The sequence below is a fragment of the Homo sapiens genome, chromosome 9 (genome assembly GCF_000001405.40).
Source record: "Homo sapiens chromosome 9, GRCh38.p14 Primary Assembly".
NCBI classification, from domain to species: domain Eukaryota; kingdom Metazoa; phylum Chordata; class Mammalia; order Primates; family Hominidae; genus Homo; species Homo sapiens.
In genome coordinates, this window is record NC_000009.12 from 63067259 (window position 1) to 63086461 (window position 19203).

General features: G+C 36.9%; 1 annotated feature.

Moving 5' to 3' along the window:
* Positions 17865-18689: an enhancer, noted in NCBI's record as "OCT4-NANOG hESC enhancer chr9:66990095-66990919 (GRCh37/hg19 assembly coordinates)". NCBI's record gives its function as "activates a minimal SCP1, AML or CMV promoter by ChIP-STARR-seq in primed H9 embryonic stem cells {active_cell/tissue: H9 hESC(primed)}" and the evidence as "EXISTENCE:reporter gene assay evidence [ECO:0000049][PMID:30033119]".

Genomic DNA, 19203 nt, shown 5'->3' on the forward strand with positions numbered 1-19203 from the left:
GTTTTTATGGAAGATATTTCCTTTCTCACCATAGGCCTCAAAGCGCTCCAAGTTTCCACTTCCATATACTACAAAAATTGTGTTTCCAAACTGCTCTATGAAAAGGAATGTTCAACTCAGTGAGTTGAATGCAAGCATCACAAAGAAGTTTCTGAGAATGCTTCTCTCTAGTTTCTATGTGAAGTTATTCCCGTTTCCAATGAAATACTCAAAGCTGTCCTAATATCCACTTGTAAAGTCTACAAAAACAGTTTTTCAAAACTGCCTTATCAAAGGAAAGGTTTAACTCTGTAAGTTGAGTAAACACGTCACAAAGTAGTTTCTGAGAATCCTTCCGTCCACTTTTTAGGTGAAGATATTTCGTTTTTCACCATAGGTCTCAAATCGCTCCAAATGTCCACTTGCAGATTTCACAAAAAGAGAGTTTCAAAACTGCTCTATGAAAGGGAATGTTCAACTCTGTGAGTGGAATGCAAAGATAACAAAGAAGTTTCTGAGAATGCTTCTGTCTAGTTTTTACATGAAGATATTCCCCCTTTACAACGAAAGCCTCAAAGCTATCTAAATATCCACTTGCAGATTCTAAAAAGGAGTGTTTCAAACGTGCTGTATCAAAAGAAAGGTTAAACTCTGTGAGTTGAGTACACACATGACAAAGAAGTTTCTGAGAATGCTTCTGTCTCGTTTTTATGTGAGGATATTTCGTTTTTTACCATAGGCCTCAAAGCGCTCCAAATGTCCACTACCAGATACAAAAAAAAGAGTGTTTCAGAACTTCTGTATGAAAAGGAATGTTCAACTCTGAGAGTTGAATGCAAACATCACAAAGTGGTTTCTGAGAATGCTTCTGTCTGGTTTTTATGTGAAGATAATCCCGTTTCGAATGAAATCCTCAAAGATATCCAAATATGCACTTGCAGATTTTACAAAAAGTGTGTTTCAAAACAGCTCTATCAAAAGAAAAGTTCAACTCTGTTAATTGAGTACACACATCACAAAGAAGTTTCTGAGAGTTCTTCTGTCTAGTTTTTATGGGAAGATATTTTGTTTTTCACCATAGGCCTCAAAGCGCTTCAAGTTTCCACTTACAGATTCTACAAAAAAAGTGTTTCAAAACTACTCTATGAAAAGGAATGTTCCACTCAGTGAGTTGATTGCAAGCACCACAAGGAAGTTTCTGAGAATGCTTCTGTGTAGTTTTTATGTGAAGGGATACCCGTTTCCAACGAAGGCCTCAAAGCTGTCCAAACATCCACTTGCAAATACTACAACAAAAGTGGTTCCAATCTGCTCTATCAAAAGAAAGATTCAACTCTGTGACTTGAATGCACACATCACAAAGAAGTTTCTGAGAATGCTTCTGTATAGTTTTTAATTGAAGATATTCCCGTTTCCAACGAAATCCTCAAAGCTATCCAAATATCCACTTGCAGATTCTACAAAAAGAGTGTTTCAAACCTGCTCTATCAAAAGAAAAATTCAACTCTGTGAGTTGAATGCACACATCACTAAGAGGTTTCAGAGAATGCTTCTGTCTAGTCTTTATGTGAAGGTATTCCCGTTTCCAGCGAAGGCCTCAGAGCGGTCCAAATATCCCCTTACGAAGTCTACTAAAAGAGTGTTTCAAAACTGCTCTATGATAAGGTATGTTCAAATCTGTGGGTTGAATGCAAACATCACAAAGAAGTTTCTGAGAATGCTTCTGTCTAGTTTTTATTTGAAGTTATTTCCTTTTCCACCATTGGCCTCAAAGTGCTGCAAATGTCCACTTGCAGATTCTACAAAAAAGTATTTCAAACCTGCTCTATCAAAAGAAAGGTTCAACTCTCTGAGTTGAATGCACACATCACAAAGAAGTTTCTGAGAATTCTTCTTTCTGGTTTTTATCTAAAAATATTTCCATTTCCACCGTAGGCCTAAGAGCGATCCAAATGTCCACTTGCAGATTATACAAAAACAGTGTCTCAAAACTGCTCTATCGAAAAGAAGGTTCAACTCTGTGAATTGAATGCACACATCACAAAGAAGTTTCTGAGAATGCTTCTGTCTAGTGTTTATGTGAAGGTATTCCTGTTTCCACCGAAGACCTCAAAGCACTCCAAATATCCACTTGCAGATTCTACAAAAAGTGTGTTTCAAAACTGTTCTGTCAAGAGCAATGGTGAACTCCATGAGTTGAATGCACAAATCACAAAGAAGTTTCTGAGAATGCTTCTGTCTAGTTTTTGTGTGATGATATTTCCTTTTCCAACATAGGCCTCAGAGCAGTCCAAGTATCCACTTGCAGATTCTACAAAAAGAGTGCTGCAAAACTGCTCTGACTAAAGGAATGTTCAACTCTTTGAGTTGAATGCACACATCACAAAGTAGTTTCTGTGAATGCTTCTATCTAGTTTCTGTATGAACATATTTCCTTTTCTACCATAGGTCTCAAAGCACTCCAAATATCCACCTGCAGATTCTACAAAAAGAGTGTTTCAAAACTGCTCTACCAAAAGGAAGTTTCAACTCTCTGAGTTTAATGCAGACAGCACAAAGAAGTTTATCTGACTACTTCTGTGTTGTTTTTATTTAAAGATATTTCCTTTTCCAACACAGAGCGCAAAGGGCTCCAAATATCCACTTGCAGTTTCTTCAAAAGAGAGATTCTAAACTGCCCAATCAAAAGATAGGTTCATCTTTGTGAGTTGAATGCATACATCACAAAGAAGTTTCTCTGAATGGTTCTGTGTAGTTTTATTTAAAGATAATTCCTTTTCCACCATAGGGCACAAATGGCTCCAAATATCCACTTGTAGATTCTACAAAACCAGAGATTCAAAACTGCTCATTGAGAAGATAAGTTCGACTCAGTGATTTGAATGTACACATCACGAAGAAGTTTCTTAGAATGCTTCTGTGCAGTTTTTATTGAAGATATTTCCTTTTCCACCATAGGGCGCATTGGGCTCCAAATATCCTCTTGCAGATGCTAGAAAAAGAGAAACTCTAAACTGCTCAATCAACAGATAGGTTCAACTCTGTGAGTTGAATGCCCACATCACAAAGAAGTTTCTCAGAATGCTTCTGAGTAGTTTTTATGTGAAGATGTTTCCTTTTCCACAATAAGCAGCAAAGTTCTCCAAATATCCACTTGAAGATTCTACAAAAACGGTGTTTCAAAACTGCTCAATGAAAAGAAAGTTTCAACCCTGTGAGATGAATGCACACATCACAAAGAAGTTTCTCAGAATCCTTCTGTGTTGTTTTTATGTGAAGATATTTCCTTACCACTGTGGGCCTCAGTGGGCTCCAAATATCCACTTCCATATTCTACAAAAAGAGTGTTTCAAAACTGCTCAATCATGAGATAAATTCATCCCTGTGAGATGAATTCACACGTCATGAAGTAGTTTCACAGAATGCTTCTGTGTAATTTTTATGTGAGGATATTTGCTTTTCCACAGTAGTCCTCAAAGGGCTCCAAATATCCACCTGCAGATTCTGCAAAAAGAGAGATTCAAAACTGCTGAATCAAAAGATATTTTCAACTCTGTGAGTTGAATGCACACATCGCAAATAAGTTTGTCTGAATGCTTCTTTGTAGTTTTTATTTCAAGATATTTCCTTTTGCACCATAGGGCTCAAAGGGCTCCAAATATCCACTTGCAGATTCTACAAAAAAAGAGATTCAAAACTGCTCAATGAGAAGATAAGATCAACTCTGTGAGTTGAATGCACACCTCACAAAGAAGTTTCTCAGAATACTTCTCTGTAGTTTTTATGTGAAGATATTTCCTTTTCCACAATAGTCCTCAAAGCTCTCCAAACATCCACTAACAGATTCTGCAAAAAGAGAGATTCAAAACTGCTCAATCAAAAGATAGGTTCAACTCTGTGAGTTGAATGCACACATCACAAAGAAGTTTCTCAGAATGCTTCTGTTTAGTTTTTATGTGAACATATTTGATTTTCCACAGTAGGCCTCACAACGCTCCAAATATCCACTTGCAGATTGTGCAAAAAGAGAGATTCAAAACTGTTCAATCAAAAGATAGGTTCAACTCTGTGAGTTGAATGCATACATCATGAAGAAGTTTCTGAGAATGCTTCTGTATAGTTTTTATTTGAAGTTATTTCCTTTTCCACAGTAGGCCTCGAAGGTCTCCAAATATCCACCTGCAGATTCTGCATAAAGAGAGTTTCAAAACTGCTCAAACAAAACATAAGTTCACCTCTGTGAGTTGAATGCACGCATCACAAAGCAGTTTCTCTGAATGCTTCTATGTAGTTTTTATTTGAAGATATTTCCTTTTCCACCATAGGACGCAAAGGGCTCCTAATATCCACTTGCAGATTCTACAAAAAGAGAGATTCAAAACTGCTCAATCAAAAGATAGGTTCAACTCTGTGAGTTGAATGCACACATCACAAAGCAGTTTCTCTGAGTGATTCTGTGTAGTTTTTATGTGAACATATTTGATTTTCCACAGCAGGCCTCAAAATGCTCCAAATATCCACTTGCAGATTCAGCAAAAAGAGGTATTCAAAACTGCTCAATCAAAAGATAGGTTCAACTTTGTGAGTGGAATGCATACATCAGAAAGAAGTTTCTCTGAATGGTTCTGTGTAGTTCTATTTGAAGATAATTCCTTTTCCACGATAGGGCACAAAGGGCTCTAAATATCTACTTGCAGAATCTACAAAACCAGAGATTCAAAACTGCTCATTGAGAAGATAAGTTCAACTCAATGAGTTGACTGTACACATCATGAAGAAGTTTCTTAGAATGCTTCTGTGTAGTTTTTATTGAAGATATTTTCTTTTCCACCATAGGGTGCAAAGGGCTCCAAATATCCACTTGCAGATTATAGAAAAAGAGAGACTCTAAACTGCTCAATCAAAAGATAGGTTCAACTCTGTGAGTTGAATGCCCACATCACAAAGAAGTTTCTCAGAATGCTTCTGAGTAGTTTTTATGTGAAGATGTTTCCTTTTCCACAATAGGCGGCAAAGTTCTCCAAATATCCACTTGCAGATTGTACAAAAATGGTGTTTCAAAACTGCGCAATGAAAAGAAAGATTCAACTCAGTGAGATGAATGCACACATCACAAAGAAGTTTCTCAGAATCCTTCTGTGTTGTTTTTATGTGAAGATATTTCCTTTCCACTATAGGCCTCAATGGGCTCCAAATATCCACTTCCATATTCTACAAAAAGAGTGTTTCAAAACTGCTCAATCATGAGATAGATTCAACCCTGTGAGATGAATGCACACGTCACGAAGTAGTTTCTCAGAATACTTCTGTGTAATTTTTATGTGAAGATATTTGCTTTTCCACAGTAGGCCTCAAAGGGCTCCAAATATCCACCTGCAGATTTTGCAAAAAGAGAGATTCAAAACTGCTCAATCAAAAGATACGTTCAACTCTGTGAGTTGAATGCATACATCACAAAGAAGTTTGTCTGAATGCTTCTTTGTAGTTTTTATTTCAAGATATTTCCTTTTGCACCACAGGGCTCAAAGGGCTCCAAATATCCACTTGCAGATTCTACAAAAGGAGAGATTCAAAACTGCTCAATGAGAAGATAAGATCAACTCTGTGAGTTGAATGCATACCTCACAAAGAAGTTTCTCAGAATGCTTCTCTGTAGTTTTTATGTGAAGATATTTCCTTTTCCACAATAGGCCTCCAAGCTCTCCAAACATCCACATACAGGTTCTGCAAAAAGAGAGATTCAAAACTGCTCAATCAAAAGATAGGTTCAACTCTGTGACTTGAATGCACACATCGCAAAGAAGCTTCTCAGAATCTTTCTGTGTAGTTTTTATGTGAACATATTTGATTTTCCACAGTAAGCCTCAAAAGGCTCCAGATATCCACCTGCAGATTCTGCAAAAAGAGGGATTCAAAACTGCTCAATCAAAAGATAGGATCAACTCTGTGAGTTGAATGTGTACATCACAAAGAAGTTTCTCTGAATGATTCTGTGTAGTTTTATTTGCAGATATTTCCTTTTCCACAATAGGGTGAAAGGGCTCCAAACATCCACTTCCAGATTCTACAAAACAGAGATTGAAAACTACTCAATGAGAAGATAAGTTCAACTCAGTCAGTTGAATGCACACATCACGAAGAAGTTTCTTAGAATTCTTCTGTGTAGTTTTTATTGAAGATATTTCCTTTTCAACCATAGGGTGCAAAGGGCTCCAAATATCCACTTGCAGATTCTACAAAAAGAGTGTTTCAAAACTGCTCAATCAAAAGAAAGGTTCAACTCTGTGAGTTGAATGCCCATATCAGAAAGAAGTTTCTCAGAGTGCTTCTGAGTAGATTTTATGTGAAGATATTTCCTTTTCCACAATAGGCCTCAAAGTTCTCCAAATATCCACTTGCAGATTCTACAAAAAGAGTGTTTCAAAACTGCTCAATCAAAAGAAAGGTTCAACTCTGTGAGATGAATGCACACATCACAAAGAAGTTTCTCAGAATGCTTCTGTGTAGTTTTTATGTGAAGCTATTTCCTTTTCCACCATAGGCCTCAAAGCTCTCCCAACATCCACTTGCAGATTCTGCAAAAAGAGAGATTCAAAAGTGCTAATTGAAAGACAGGTTGAACTCTGTGAGTTGAATGCACACAGCACAAAGAAGTTTCTCAGAATGCTTCTCTGTAGTTTTTATGTGAACATATTTGATTTTCCACAATAGGCCTCACAGCGCTCCAAATATCCACTTGCAGATTCTACAAAAAGAGAGATTCAAAACTGTTCAATCAAAAGATAGGTTCAACTCTGTGAGTTGAACGCATACATCATTAAGAAGTTTCTGGGAATGCTTCTTTGTAGTTTTTATTTGAAGATATTTCCTTTTCCACCATAGGCTGCAGAGGGCTCCAAATATCCACTTGCAGATTCAACAGAAAGAGTGTTTCAAAACTGCTCAATCAAAAGAAAGTTTCAACTCTGTGAGATGAATGCACACATCACAAAGAAGTTTCTCAGAATGCTTCTGTGTAGTTCTTATTTGAAGATATTTGGTTTTCCACTGTAGGCCTCAAAGCGCTCCAAATATCCACTTGAAGATCCTACAAAAAGAGTGTTTCAAAACTGCTCAATCATAAGCTAGGTTCAACCCTGTGAGATGAATGCACACATCACAAAGCAGTTTCTCTGAGTGATTCTGTGTAGTTTTTATTTGAAGATATTTCCTTTTCCACCATAGGGCGCAAAGGGCTCCAAATATCCACTTGGAGATTCTACCAAAAGATAAATTCAAAACTGCTCAATGAGAAGATAAGTTCAACTCTGTGAGTTGAATGCACACCTCACAAAGTAGTTTCTCACAATGCTTCTGCATAGTTTTTATGTGAAGATATTTGCTTTTCCACTGTAGGCCTCAAAGGGCTCAAAATATCCACCTTCAGATTGTGCAAACAGAGAGATTCAAAACTGCTCAATCAAAAGATAGGTTCAACTCTGTGAGTTGAATGCACATATCACGAAGAAGTTTCTCTGAATGCTTCTGTGTAGTTTTTATTTCAAGATATTTCCTTTTCCACCATAGGGCACAAAGGTCGTCAAATATCCACTTGCAGATTCTACAAAAAGTGAGATTGAAAACTCCTCAAAGAAAAGATAATTTCAACTCTGTGAGTTGAATGCACACCTCATAAAGTAGTTTCTCAGAATGCTTCTGTGTAGTTTTTATGTGAAGATATTTCCTTTTCCACAATAGGCCTCAAAGCTTTCCAAACATACACTTGTAGTTTCTGCAAAAAGAGAGATTCAAAACTGCTCAATCAAAATGTAGTTTCAACTCTGTGAGTTGAATGCAAACATGACAATGGTGTTTCTCAGAATGCTTCTGAGTAGTTTTTATGTGAAGAAATTTCCTTTTCCACAATAGGCCTCAAAGGGCTCCAAATATCCACTTGCAGATTCCACGAAGAGAGTGTTTCAAAACTGCTCAATCAAAAGAAAGTTTCAACTCTGTGAGATGAATGAACACATCACAAAGGAGTTTCTCAGATTGCTTCCTTCTAGATTTTATGTGAAGATATTTCCTTTTCTATCATAGGCCACAAAGCGCTCCAAATGTCCACTTGCTGATTCTACAAAAAGGGTGTTTCCAAACTACACAATCAAAAGAAAGGTTCAACTCTGTTAGATGAACGTACACATCATAAAAAAGATTCTCAGAATTCTTCTTTTTTTGTGTGAAGATATTTCCTTTTCCAACTTAAGCCTCAAGGTGCTTGAAATGTCCCCTTGCAGATTCTCCAAAAAGAGTATTTGAAAACTGGTTCTCCTAAAGAAAGTTGGAACTCCAGGAGATGAGTGCAGACATCACAGAGAACTTTCTCAGAATGCTTCTATCTACTTTTTATGTGAAGATATTTCCTTCTCCACCACAGGCCTCGAAGCGCTGCCAAATGTCCACTTGCAGATTCTACAAAAAGAGAGTTTCCAATCTGCTCAATCAAAAGAAAGGTTTAACTCTGTGAGATTAATGCACGCATCACAAAAGTTTCTCAGATTGCTTCTGTCTAGATTTTATGTGAAGATATTTCCTTTTCTACCATTGGCCGCAAAGAGTTCCAAATGTCCACTTGCAGATTCTACAAAAAGAGTGTTTCCAAACTACTCAATCAAAAGAAACGTTCAACTCTGTGAGATGAACACACTCATCACAAAGAAGTTTCTCAGAATTCTTCTGTCTAATTTTTACGTGAAGATATTTCCTGTTCCACCATAGGCCTCAAGACGCTCTAAATGTTCACTTGCAGATTCTACAAAAAGAGAGTTTCAAAACTGCTCAATCAAAAGAAAGGGTTATCTCTGTGAGATGAATGCATATATCACAAACAAGTTTCTCATATTGCTTCTGTCTAGATTATATGTGAAGATATTTACTTTTCTACCATAGACTGCAAAGCGCTCCAAATGTCCACTTGCAGACTCTACAAGAAAGAGTGGTACCAAACTGCTCAATCGAAAGAACGGTTACACTCTGTGAGAAGAACGCACACATCACAAAGAAGTTTGTCAGAATTCTTCTTTCTAGTTTTTATGTGAAGATATTTCCTTTTCCACCATAGGCCTCAAGCGTTCCAAATGTCCACTTGCAGATTCTACAAAAAGAGAGTTTCAAAACTGCTGAATCAAAAGAAAGTTTAAACTCTGTGAGATGAATGCACCCATCACTAAGAAGTTTCTCCGATTTCTTCTCTCTAGATTTTATGTGAAGGTATTACTTTTTCTACCATAGGTCGCAAAGTGCTTCAAATGTCCATTTGCAGATTCTACAAAAAAGAGTGTTTCCAAACTGCTCAATCAAAACAAAGGTTCAAGTCTGTGAGATGAACGCACACATTCCCAAGAAGTTTGTCACAATTCTTCTGTCTAGTTTTTATGTGAAGATATTACCTTTTCCACCATAGGCCTCAAAGCTCTCCAAATGTCCACTTGCAGATTCTACAAAAAGAGAGTTTCAAAACCGCTCAATCCAAAGAAAGGTTTAACTCTGTGAGATGAATGCACACATCACAAAGAAGTTTCTCAGATTGTTTCTTTCTAGATTTTATGTGAAGATATTTCTGTTTCAACCACAGGCCGCAAAGCGTTGCAAATGTCCACTTGCAGATTCTACAAAAAGAGTGTTTCCAAACTGCTCAATCAAAAGAAAATTTCAGCTTTGTGAGATGAACACACACATCACAAAGAAGATTATCAGAATTCTTCCATCTAGTTTTTATGTGAAGATATTTCCTTTTCCACCATAGGCCTCTAAGTGCTCCAAATGTCCACTTTGAGATTCTACAAAAAGAGTGTTTCCAAACTGCTCAATCAAAAGAAAGGTTTAACTCTATGAGATGAATGCACACATCACAAAGAAGTTTCTCAGATGGCTTCTGTCTAGATTTTATGTGAAGATATTTCCTTTTCTACCATACGCCACAAAGTTCTCCAAATGTCCACTTGCATATTCTACAGAAAGAGTGTCTCCGAACTGTTCAATCAAAAGATAGGTTCAAATCTGTGAGATGAATGCACACGTCCCAAAGAAGTTTCTCAGAATTCTTCTGTCTAGTTTTTATGTGCAGATATTTCCTTTTCCACTGTTGGCCTCAAAGAGTTCCAAATATCCATTTGCGGATTCTACAAAAAGAGAGCTTCAAGACTGCTCAATCAAAAGAAAAGTTTAACTCCATGAGATGAATGCACACATCACAAAGAAGTTTCTCAGATTTCTTCTGTCTAGACTTTATGTGAAGATATTTCCTTTTCTACTACAGGCCGCAAAGCACTCCAAATGTGCACTTGCAGATTCTACAAAAGAGTGTTTCCAACCTGCTGTATCAAAAGAAAGTTTCAACTATGGGAGATGAAAGCTCGCATCACAAAGAAGTTTTTCAAAATTCTTCTGTCTAGTTTTTATGTGAAGAGATTTCCTTTTCTACCACAGGCCTAAAAGGGCTCCAAATGTCCACTTGCAGATACTACAAAAAGAGAGTTTCAAAACTGCTCAATAAAAAGAAAGGTTTAACTCTGTGAGATGAATGCACACATCACAAAGAAGTTTGTCAGATTGCTTCTGTCTAGATTTTATGTGAAGATATTTCCTTTTCTACCATAGGCCGCAAAGCGCTAAAATTGTCCACTTGTAGATTCTACAAAAAGAGTGTTTCCAAACAGCCCAATGAAAGGAAACTTTCAACTCTGTGTGATGAACGCACGCATCACAAAGTGATTTCACAGTATTCTTCTGTCTAGTTTTTATGTGAAGATATTTCCTTTTCCACCACAGTTCTCAAAGAGCTTCAAATGTCCACTTGCAGATTGTTCAAAAAGTGTGGTTCCAAACTGCTCGATCAAAAAAAGTTTAACTCTGTGAGATGAACGCACACATCACAAAATAGTTTCTCAGAATTCTTCTGTCTAGTTTTTTGCGAAGGTATTTCCTTTTCCACCATAGGCCACAAAATGCTCCATATGTCCCCTTGCAAATTCCTCAAAAAGTGAGTTTCAAAACTGCTCAATCAAAAGAAAGGTTTAACTCTGAGACGAATGCACACTTCACAAAGAAGCTTCACAGATTGCTTCTGTCTATATTTTATGTGAAGATATTTCCTTTCCTACCATAGGCCGCAAAGCACTCCAAATGTCCACTTGCAGACCCTTCAAAAAGAGTGTTTCCAAACTGCTCAAATAAAAGAAAGATTCAACTCTGTGAGAATAAAGCACAAAAAACAAAGAAGTTTCTCAAAATTCTTCTGTCTAGTTTTTATGTGAAGATATTTCATTTTCCACCATAGACCTTAATGCGCTCGAAATGTCCACTTGCAGATTCCACGAAAAGAGTATTTCAAAACTAGTCCATCAAAAGAAAGGTTCAGACTTGGGAGATGAATGCACACATCACAAAGAAGTTTCACAGAATGCTTCTATCTATTTTTTATGTGAAGATATTTCCTATTCCACCATAGGCCTCAAAGCGCACCACATGTCCACTTGCAGATATTACAAAAAGAGAGTTTCAAAACTGCTGAATCAAAAGAAAGGTTAAACTCTATGAGATCAATGCACGCATCAGAAAGGAGTTTCTCAGATTACTTCTGTCTAGATTTTATATGGAGATATTTCCTTTTCAACCATAGGCTGCAAAACACACCAAATGTTCACTTGCAGATTCTGCAAAAAGAGTGTTTCCAGACTGCTCAATCGTAAGGAAAGTTCAAATGAGATGAAAACACACTTCAAAAAGAAGTTTCTCAGAATTCTTCAGTCTAGATTTTATATGAAGATATTTCCATTTCCACCATAGGCTTCAAAGCGCTCCAAAAGTCCACTTGCAGATTTTACAAAAAGAGAGTTTCAAAACTACTCCATGAAAAGAAAAGTTCAACTCTCTGAAATTAATGCACATATCACAATGAAGTTTCTCTGATTGCTTCTGTTAGATTTTATGTGAAGATATTTCCTTTTCCACCATAGGCCTCAAAGCACTCCAAATGTCCACTTGCAGATTCTACAAAAAGAGTGTTTCCAAACTGCTCAATCAAAGGAAAGGTTCAACTCTCTCAGATGAACGCATTCATCAAAAAGAAGTTTCTCAGAATTTTTCTGTCATTTTTTTATGTGAAGATATTTCCTTTTCCACCATAGGCCTGAAAGTGCTCCAAATGTCCACTTGCACATTCTATAAAAAGAGAGTTTCAAAACTGCTCTATCAAAAGAAAGGTTCTACTCTGTGAGATGAACACAAACATCACAAAGAAGTCTGTCAGAATTCTTCTGTCTAGTTTTTATGTGAAGATATTTCCTTTTCCACCGTACACCTCAAAGCACTCCAAATGTCCACTGGCAGATTCTACAAAAAGAGAGTCTCAAAACTGCTCAATCAAAAGAAAGGTTTAACTCTGTGAGATAAATGCATACATCAGAAAGAAGTTTCTCAGATTGCTTCTGTCTAGATTTTATGTGAAGGTATTTCCTTTTCTACCATAGGCCGAAAAGTGCTCCAAATGTCCACTTGCAGATTCTACAAAAAGAGTGTTTCCAAACTACTCAATCAAAATAAAGATTCAACTCAGTGAGATGAACACACACATCACAAGGAAGTTTGTCAGAATTCTTCTGTCTAGTTTTTATGTGAAGATATTTCCTTTTCTACCATAGACCTCAAAGCGCTCCAAATGTCCACTTGCAGATTCTACAAAAAGAGAGTTTCAAAACTGCTCAATCAAACTGAAGTTTTAACTCTCTGAGTTGAATGCACACATTACAAAGAAGTTTCTCAGATTGCTACTGTCTAGATTTTATATGAAGATATTTCGTTTTCGTCCATAGGCCAAAAAGCACTCCAAATGTCCACTTGCAGATTCTACAAAAAGACTCTTTCCAAGCTGCTCAATCAAAAGAAAGTTTGAACTCTGTGAGATGAACGCATACATCATAAAGAAGTTTGTCAGAATTCTCTCTAGTTTTTATGTGAAGATAAATTCCTTTTCCACCATAGGCCTCAAAGCACTCCAAAGGACAATTTGCAGATTCTACAAGAAGAGGGTTTCAACACTGCTCAATCAAAAGAAAGGCTCAATTCTGTGAGATGAATGCACACATCACAAAGAAGTTTGTCCAAATTCTTCTGTCTAGTTTTTATGTGAAGATATTTCCTTTTCCACCATAGGCCTGAAAGCACTCCAAATGTCCACTTGCAGATTCTACAAAAAGAGAGTTTCAATACTGCTCTATCAAAAGGAAGGTTTAACTCTGTGAGACGAATGCACACATCCCAAAGAAATTTCTCAGATTGCTTCTGTCTAGATTTAATGTGAAGATATTTCCTTTTCTACCATAGTCCGCAAAGCGCTCCAAATGTCCACTTGCACATTCTACAAAAAGAGGGATTCCAAACTGCTCAATCAAAAGGAAGGTTCAACTCTGTGAGATGAATGCACACATCACAAAGAAGTTTCTCAGATTGCTTCTGTCTAGGTTTTATGTGAAGATATTTCCTTTTCCACCATAGGCTTCAAAGTGCTCCAAGTGTCCACATGCAGATTCTACAAAAAGAGTGTTTCCAAACTGCTTAATCAAAAAAAAAGTTCAACTCTGTGGGATGAATGCACACATCACAAAGAAGTTTCTCAGAAATCTTCTGGCTAGTTTTTATATGACGATACTTCCTTTTCCACCATCGTCCTGAAACAGCTCCAAATATCTACTTGCAGATTCTAAAAAAAGAGAGTTTCAAAACTGCTCAATTGAAAGAATGGTTTAACTCAGTGAGATGCATGCACACATCACAAAGAAGTTTCTCAGATTGCTTCTGTCTAGATTTTATATGAAGATATTTCCTTTTCTAGCATAGGCCACAAATTCCTCCAAATATCCACTTGCAGTTTCCACAAAAAGAGGGTTTCCAAACTGCTCAATCAAAAGGAAGGTTCAACTCTGAGGTGAATGCACCCATCACAAAGATGTTTCTCAGAATTCTTCTGTGTAGCTTTTATGTGAAGATATATCCTTTTCCAACATTGGCCTCAAAGCACTCCAAATGTCCACTTGCAGATTCTACAAAAAGGTAGTTTAAAAACTGCTCAATCAAAAGAAAGGTTTAAATCTGTGAGACGAATGCGCTCATCACAAAGACGTTTCTCAGATTGCTTCTGTCTACATTTTATGTGAAGAAATTTCCTTTTCTACCATAGGACGCAAAGCACTCCAAATATCCACGTGCAGATTATACAAAAGGAGTGTTTCTGAACTGGTCAATCAAAAGAAAGTTTCAACTCTGTGATATGAACCCACACATCACAAAGAGGTTTCTCAGAATGCTTCTATCTAGTTTTTATGTGAAGATATTTCCTTTACCACCATAGGCCTCAAAGCGCTCCAAATGTCCACATGCAGATTCTAAAAAAAGAGAGTTTCAAAACTGCTCAATAAAGAGAAAGTTTTAACTCTGTTAGATGAATGCACACATCACAAACAAGTTTCTCAGATTTCTTCTGTCTAGATTTTATGTGAAGATATTTCCTTTTCTATCATAGGCCGCAAAGTGCTCCAAATATCCACTTACACATTCTACAAAAGAATGTTTCCAAACTGCTCAATCAAAAGAAAGCTTCAACTCTGTAACATGAAAGCACACATCACGAAGAAGTTTCTCAGAATTCTTCTGTCTAGTTTTTATGTGAAGGTATTTCTTTTTCCACCAGAGGCCGCAAAGCGCTCCAAATGTCCACTTGCAGATTCAATGAAAAGAGAGTTCCAAAACTGCTCAATCAATAAAATGTTTTACTCTGTGAGATGAATGCACACCTCACAAAGATATTTCTCAGAATTCTTCTGTCTAGTTTTTATGTGAAGATATTTCCTTTTCAAAGATAGGCCTTAAAGCTCTCCAAATGTCCAGTTGCAGATTCTACAAAAACAGTGTTTCCAAACTGCTCAATAAAAAGAAAGGTCCAACTCTGTGATATGAGTGCACACATCACAAAGAAGTTTCTCAGAATTCTTCTGTCTAGTTTTTATGTGAAGATATTTCCTTTTCCAGCATAGGCCTCAAAGTGCTCCGAATGTCTACTTGCAGATTCTACAAAAAGTTTCAAAACTGCTCAATCAAAAGAAATGTTTAACTCTATGAGATGAATGCAGACAACACAAAGAAGTTTCTCAGATTGCTTCTGTCTAGAATTTATGTGAAGATATTTCCTTGTCTACCATAGGCTTCACAGTACTCCAAATGGTCCCTTGCAGATTCTACAAAAAGAGTGTTTCCAAACTGCTCAATCAAAAGGAAGTTTCAACTCTGTGAGATGAACGCACACATCACAAAGAAGTTTCTCAGAATTCTTCTGTCTAGTTTTTATGGGAAGATATTTCCTTTTCCACCATAGGCCTAAAAGCGCTCCAAATTTTCACTTGCAGATTCTACAAAAAGAGAGTTTCAAAACTGCTCAATCAAAAAAAAGTTTTAACTCTGTGAGGTGAAAGCACACATCACAAAGAAGTTTCTCAGATTGCTTTTGTCTAGATTTTATGTGAAGATGTTTCTTTTACTACCATAGGCCTCAAAGCGCTCCAAATGTCCACTTGCAGGTTCTACAAAATAGAGTTTCAAGACAGCTCAATCAAAAGAAAAGTTTAACTCTGTGAAATGAATGTGCACATCACAAAATAGTTTCTCAGATTGCTTCTGTCTGAATTCTATGTGAAGATATTTCCTTTTCTACCATAGGCCACAAAGTGCTCCAAATGTCCACTTGCAGATTCTACAAAATAGAGTTTCAAGACAGCTCAATCAAAAGAAAAGTTTAACTCTGTGAAATGAATGTGCACATCACAAAGTAGTTTCTCAGATTGCTTCTGTCTGAATTCTATGTGAAGATATTTCCTTTTCTACCATAGGCCACAAAGTGCTCCAAATGTCCACTTGCAGATTCTACAAAATAGAGTTTCAAGACAGCTCAATCAAAAGAAAAGTTTAACTCTGTGAAATGAATGTGCACATCACAAAGCAGTTTCTCAGATTGCTTCTGTCTGAATTCTATGTGAAGATATTTCCTTTTCTACCATAGGCCACAAAGTGCTCCAAATGTCCACTTGCAGATTCTACAAAAAGAGTGTTTCCAAACAGCTCAATCAAAAGAAAGGTTCCACTCTGTGAGATGAACGCACACATCACAAAGAAGTTTCCCAGTATTCTTCAATCTGGTTTTGATGTGAAGATATTTTCTTTTCCACATTGTCCTCAAACCGCTCCAAATGTACACTTCCAGATTCTACAAAAACAGAGTTTAAAAAATGCTCCATCAAAAGAAATGTTTAAGTCTCTGAGAAGAATGCACACATCACAAATTATTTTCTCATATTGCTTCTGTCTAGATTTTATTTGCAGGTATTTCCTTTTCTACCACTGGCCACAAAGCGCTCCAAATCTGCACTTGCAGATTCTGCAAAAGGAGTGCTTCCAAAATGCTCAATCAAAATGAAGGTTCAACTCAGTGAGATTAATGCACACATCACAAAGAAGTTTCTCAGAATTCTTCTGTCTAGTATTTATGTGAAGATATTACCTTTTCCACCAGAGGCCTAACAGCGCTCCAAATGTCCACTTGCAGATTCTACAAAAAGAGAGTTTCAAAACTGCTCAACCCAACTAAAGTTTTCACTTGTGAAATGAATGCACACATCACAAAGTAGTTTCTCAGATTGGCTCTCTCTGAATTTTATGTGAAGATATTTATTTTTCTATCATAGGCCACAAAGTGCTCCAAATGTCCACTTGCAGACTCTACAAAAAGAGTGTTTCCAAACAGCTCAATCAAAAGAAAGTTTCAACTCTGTGAGATGAACGCACACATCAGAAAGAAGTTTGTCAGAATTCTTCTCTCTAGTTTTTATGTGAAGATAAATTCCTTTTCCACCGTAGGCTTCAAAGTGCTGCAAATGACCATTTGCAGATTCTACAAAAAGAGGGTTTCAACACTGCTCAATCAAAAGAAAGGCTCAATTCTGCGAGATGAACGCACATATCACAAAGAACTTTCTCAGAATTCTTCTGTCTTGTTTTTATGTGAAGATATTTCCTTTTAAACCATAGGCCTCAAGGCACTCGAAATGTCCACTTGAAGATTCTACAAACAGAGTATTTCAAAACTGGTCCTTCAAAAGAAAGATTCAACTCTGGGTGATTAATGCGCACATCACAAAATCTTCTCAGAATGCTTCTATGTAGTTTTTATGTGAAGATATTTCCTTTTCCACCATAGGCCTCAAAGCGCTCCAAATGTCCACTTGCAGATTCTACAAAAAGACAGTTTCAAAACTGCTCAATCTAAAGAAATGTTTATCTCTGTGAGATGAATGCACACATCACAAAGTTGTTTCTCAGATTACTTCTGTCTAGATTTTATGAGAACATATTTCCTAGTCTACCATAGGCCGCAACGTGCTCCAAATGTCCACTTGCAGAGTCTATAAAAAGAGGGTTTCCAAACTGCTCAATCAAAAGAAAGTTTCAACTCTGTGAGATGAACGTGCCCATCACAAAGTTTTTCAGAATTCTTCTGTCTACTTTTTATGGGAAGATATTTCCTTTTTCACCATAAGCCTCAAAGTGCTCGAAATGTCCACTTGCAGAGTCTACAAAAAGAGAGGTTCAAAACTGCTCAATCAAAAGAATGGCTTAACTCTGTGAGATGAATGCACATATCACAAAGAAGTTTCTCAGATTGCTTCTGTCTAGATATTATGTGAAGATAATTCCTTTTCTACCATAGGCCGCAAAGCGCTCCAAATGTCCACTTGCAGATTCTAAAAAAGAGAGTTTCCAAACTACTCAATCAACAGAAATGTTCAAATCTGTGAAATGAATGCACACATCACAAAGAAGTTTCTCAGAAATCTTCTGTCTATTTTTATGTGGAGATATTTTCTTTTCCACCGAAGGCCTCGAAGTGCTCCAATTGTCCACTTGCAGATTCTACAAAAAGAGAGTTTCAAAACCCCTCAATCAAAAGAAAGGTTTAACTCTGTGAGATGAAAGCACACATCACAAAGAAGTTTCTCAGATTGCTTCTGTGTAGGTTTTATGTGAAGATATTTCCTTTTCTACCATAGGCCGCATAGCGCTCCAAATGTCCACTTGCAGATTCTACAAAAAGAGAGTTTCCAAACTGCTCAATCAAAAGAAAGTTTCAACTCTGTGAGATGAACGCACACATCACCAAGAAGTTTCTCAGAATTCTTCTGTCTAGTTTTTATGGGAAGATATTTCTTTTTCCACCATAGGCCTAAAAGGGCTCCAAATGTCCACTTCCAGATTCTACAAAAAGAGAGTTTCAAAACTGCTCAATCATAAGAAATTTTAACTCTGTGAGATGAATGCACACATCACAAAGAAGTTTCTCAGATTGCTTTTGTCTAGATTTTATGTGAAGATATTTCCTTTTCTACCATAAGCCTCAAAGCGCTCCAAATGTCCACTTGCAGATTCTACAAAATAGAGTTTCAAGACAGCTCAATCAAAAGAAATGTTTAACTCTGTGAGATGAATGCACACATCACAAAGATGTTTCTCAGAATGCTTCTGTCTAGTTCTTAAATGAAGATGTTTCCTATTCCACCATAGGACTCAAAGGGCTCCCAATGTCCACTTGCAGATTCTACAAAAAGAGTGTTTAAACCTGCTCAATCAGAAGAAATGTTCAGTCCGGTGAGATGAATGCCCACAACACAAAGGATTTTCTATGAATGATTCTGTCTAGTTTTTATGTGCACATATTTCCTTTTAAACCATAGGCCTCAAAGCGCTTCAAATGTACACTTGCAGATTCCACAAAAAGAGTTTTTCAAAACTGCTCAATGAAAAGAAAGGTTCTAATCTGTGTGAAGAATGTACACATAACAAAGAAGTTTGTCAGAATATTTCTGTATAGTTTTTATATTAAGGTATTTACTTTTCCACCATAGGCCTCAAAGAGCTCCAAATGTCCACATGCAGATTCTACAAAAAGAGTGTTTCAAAGCTGCTCATTCAAAAGAAAGGTTCAACTCTGTGACATGAATGCGCAATCATGAAGAAGTTTGTCAGAATGCTTCTGTCTAGTTTTTATGTGAAGATATTTCCTTTTCCACCATGGGCCACAAAGCGCACCAAATGTCCAAATTCAGATTCTACAAATAGAGTCTTTCAAAACTACTCAATCAAAAG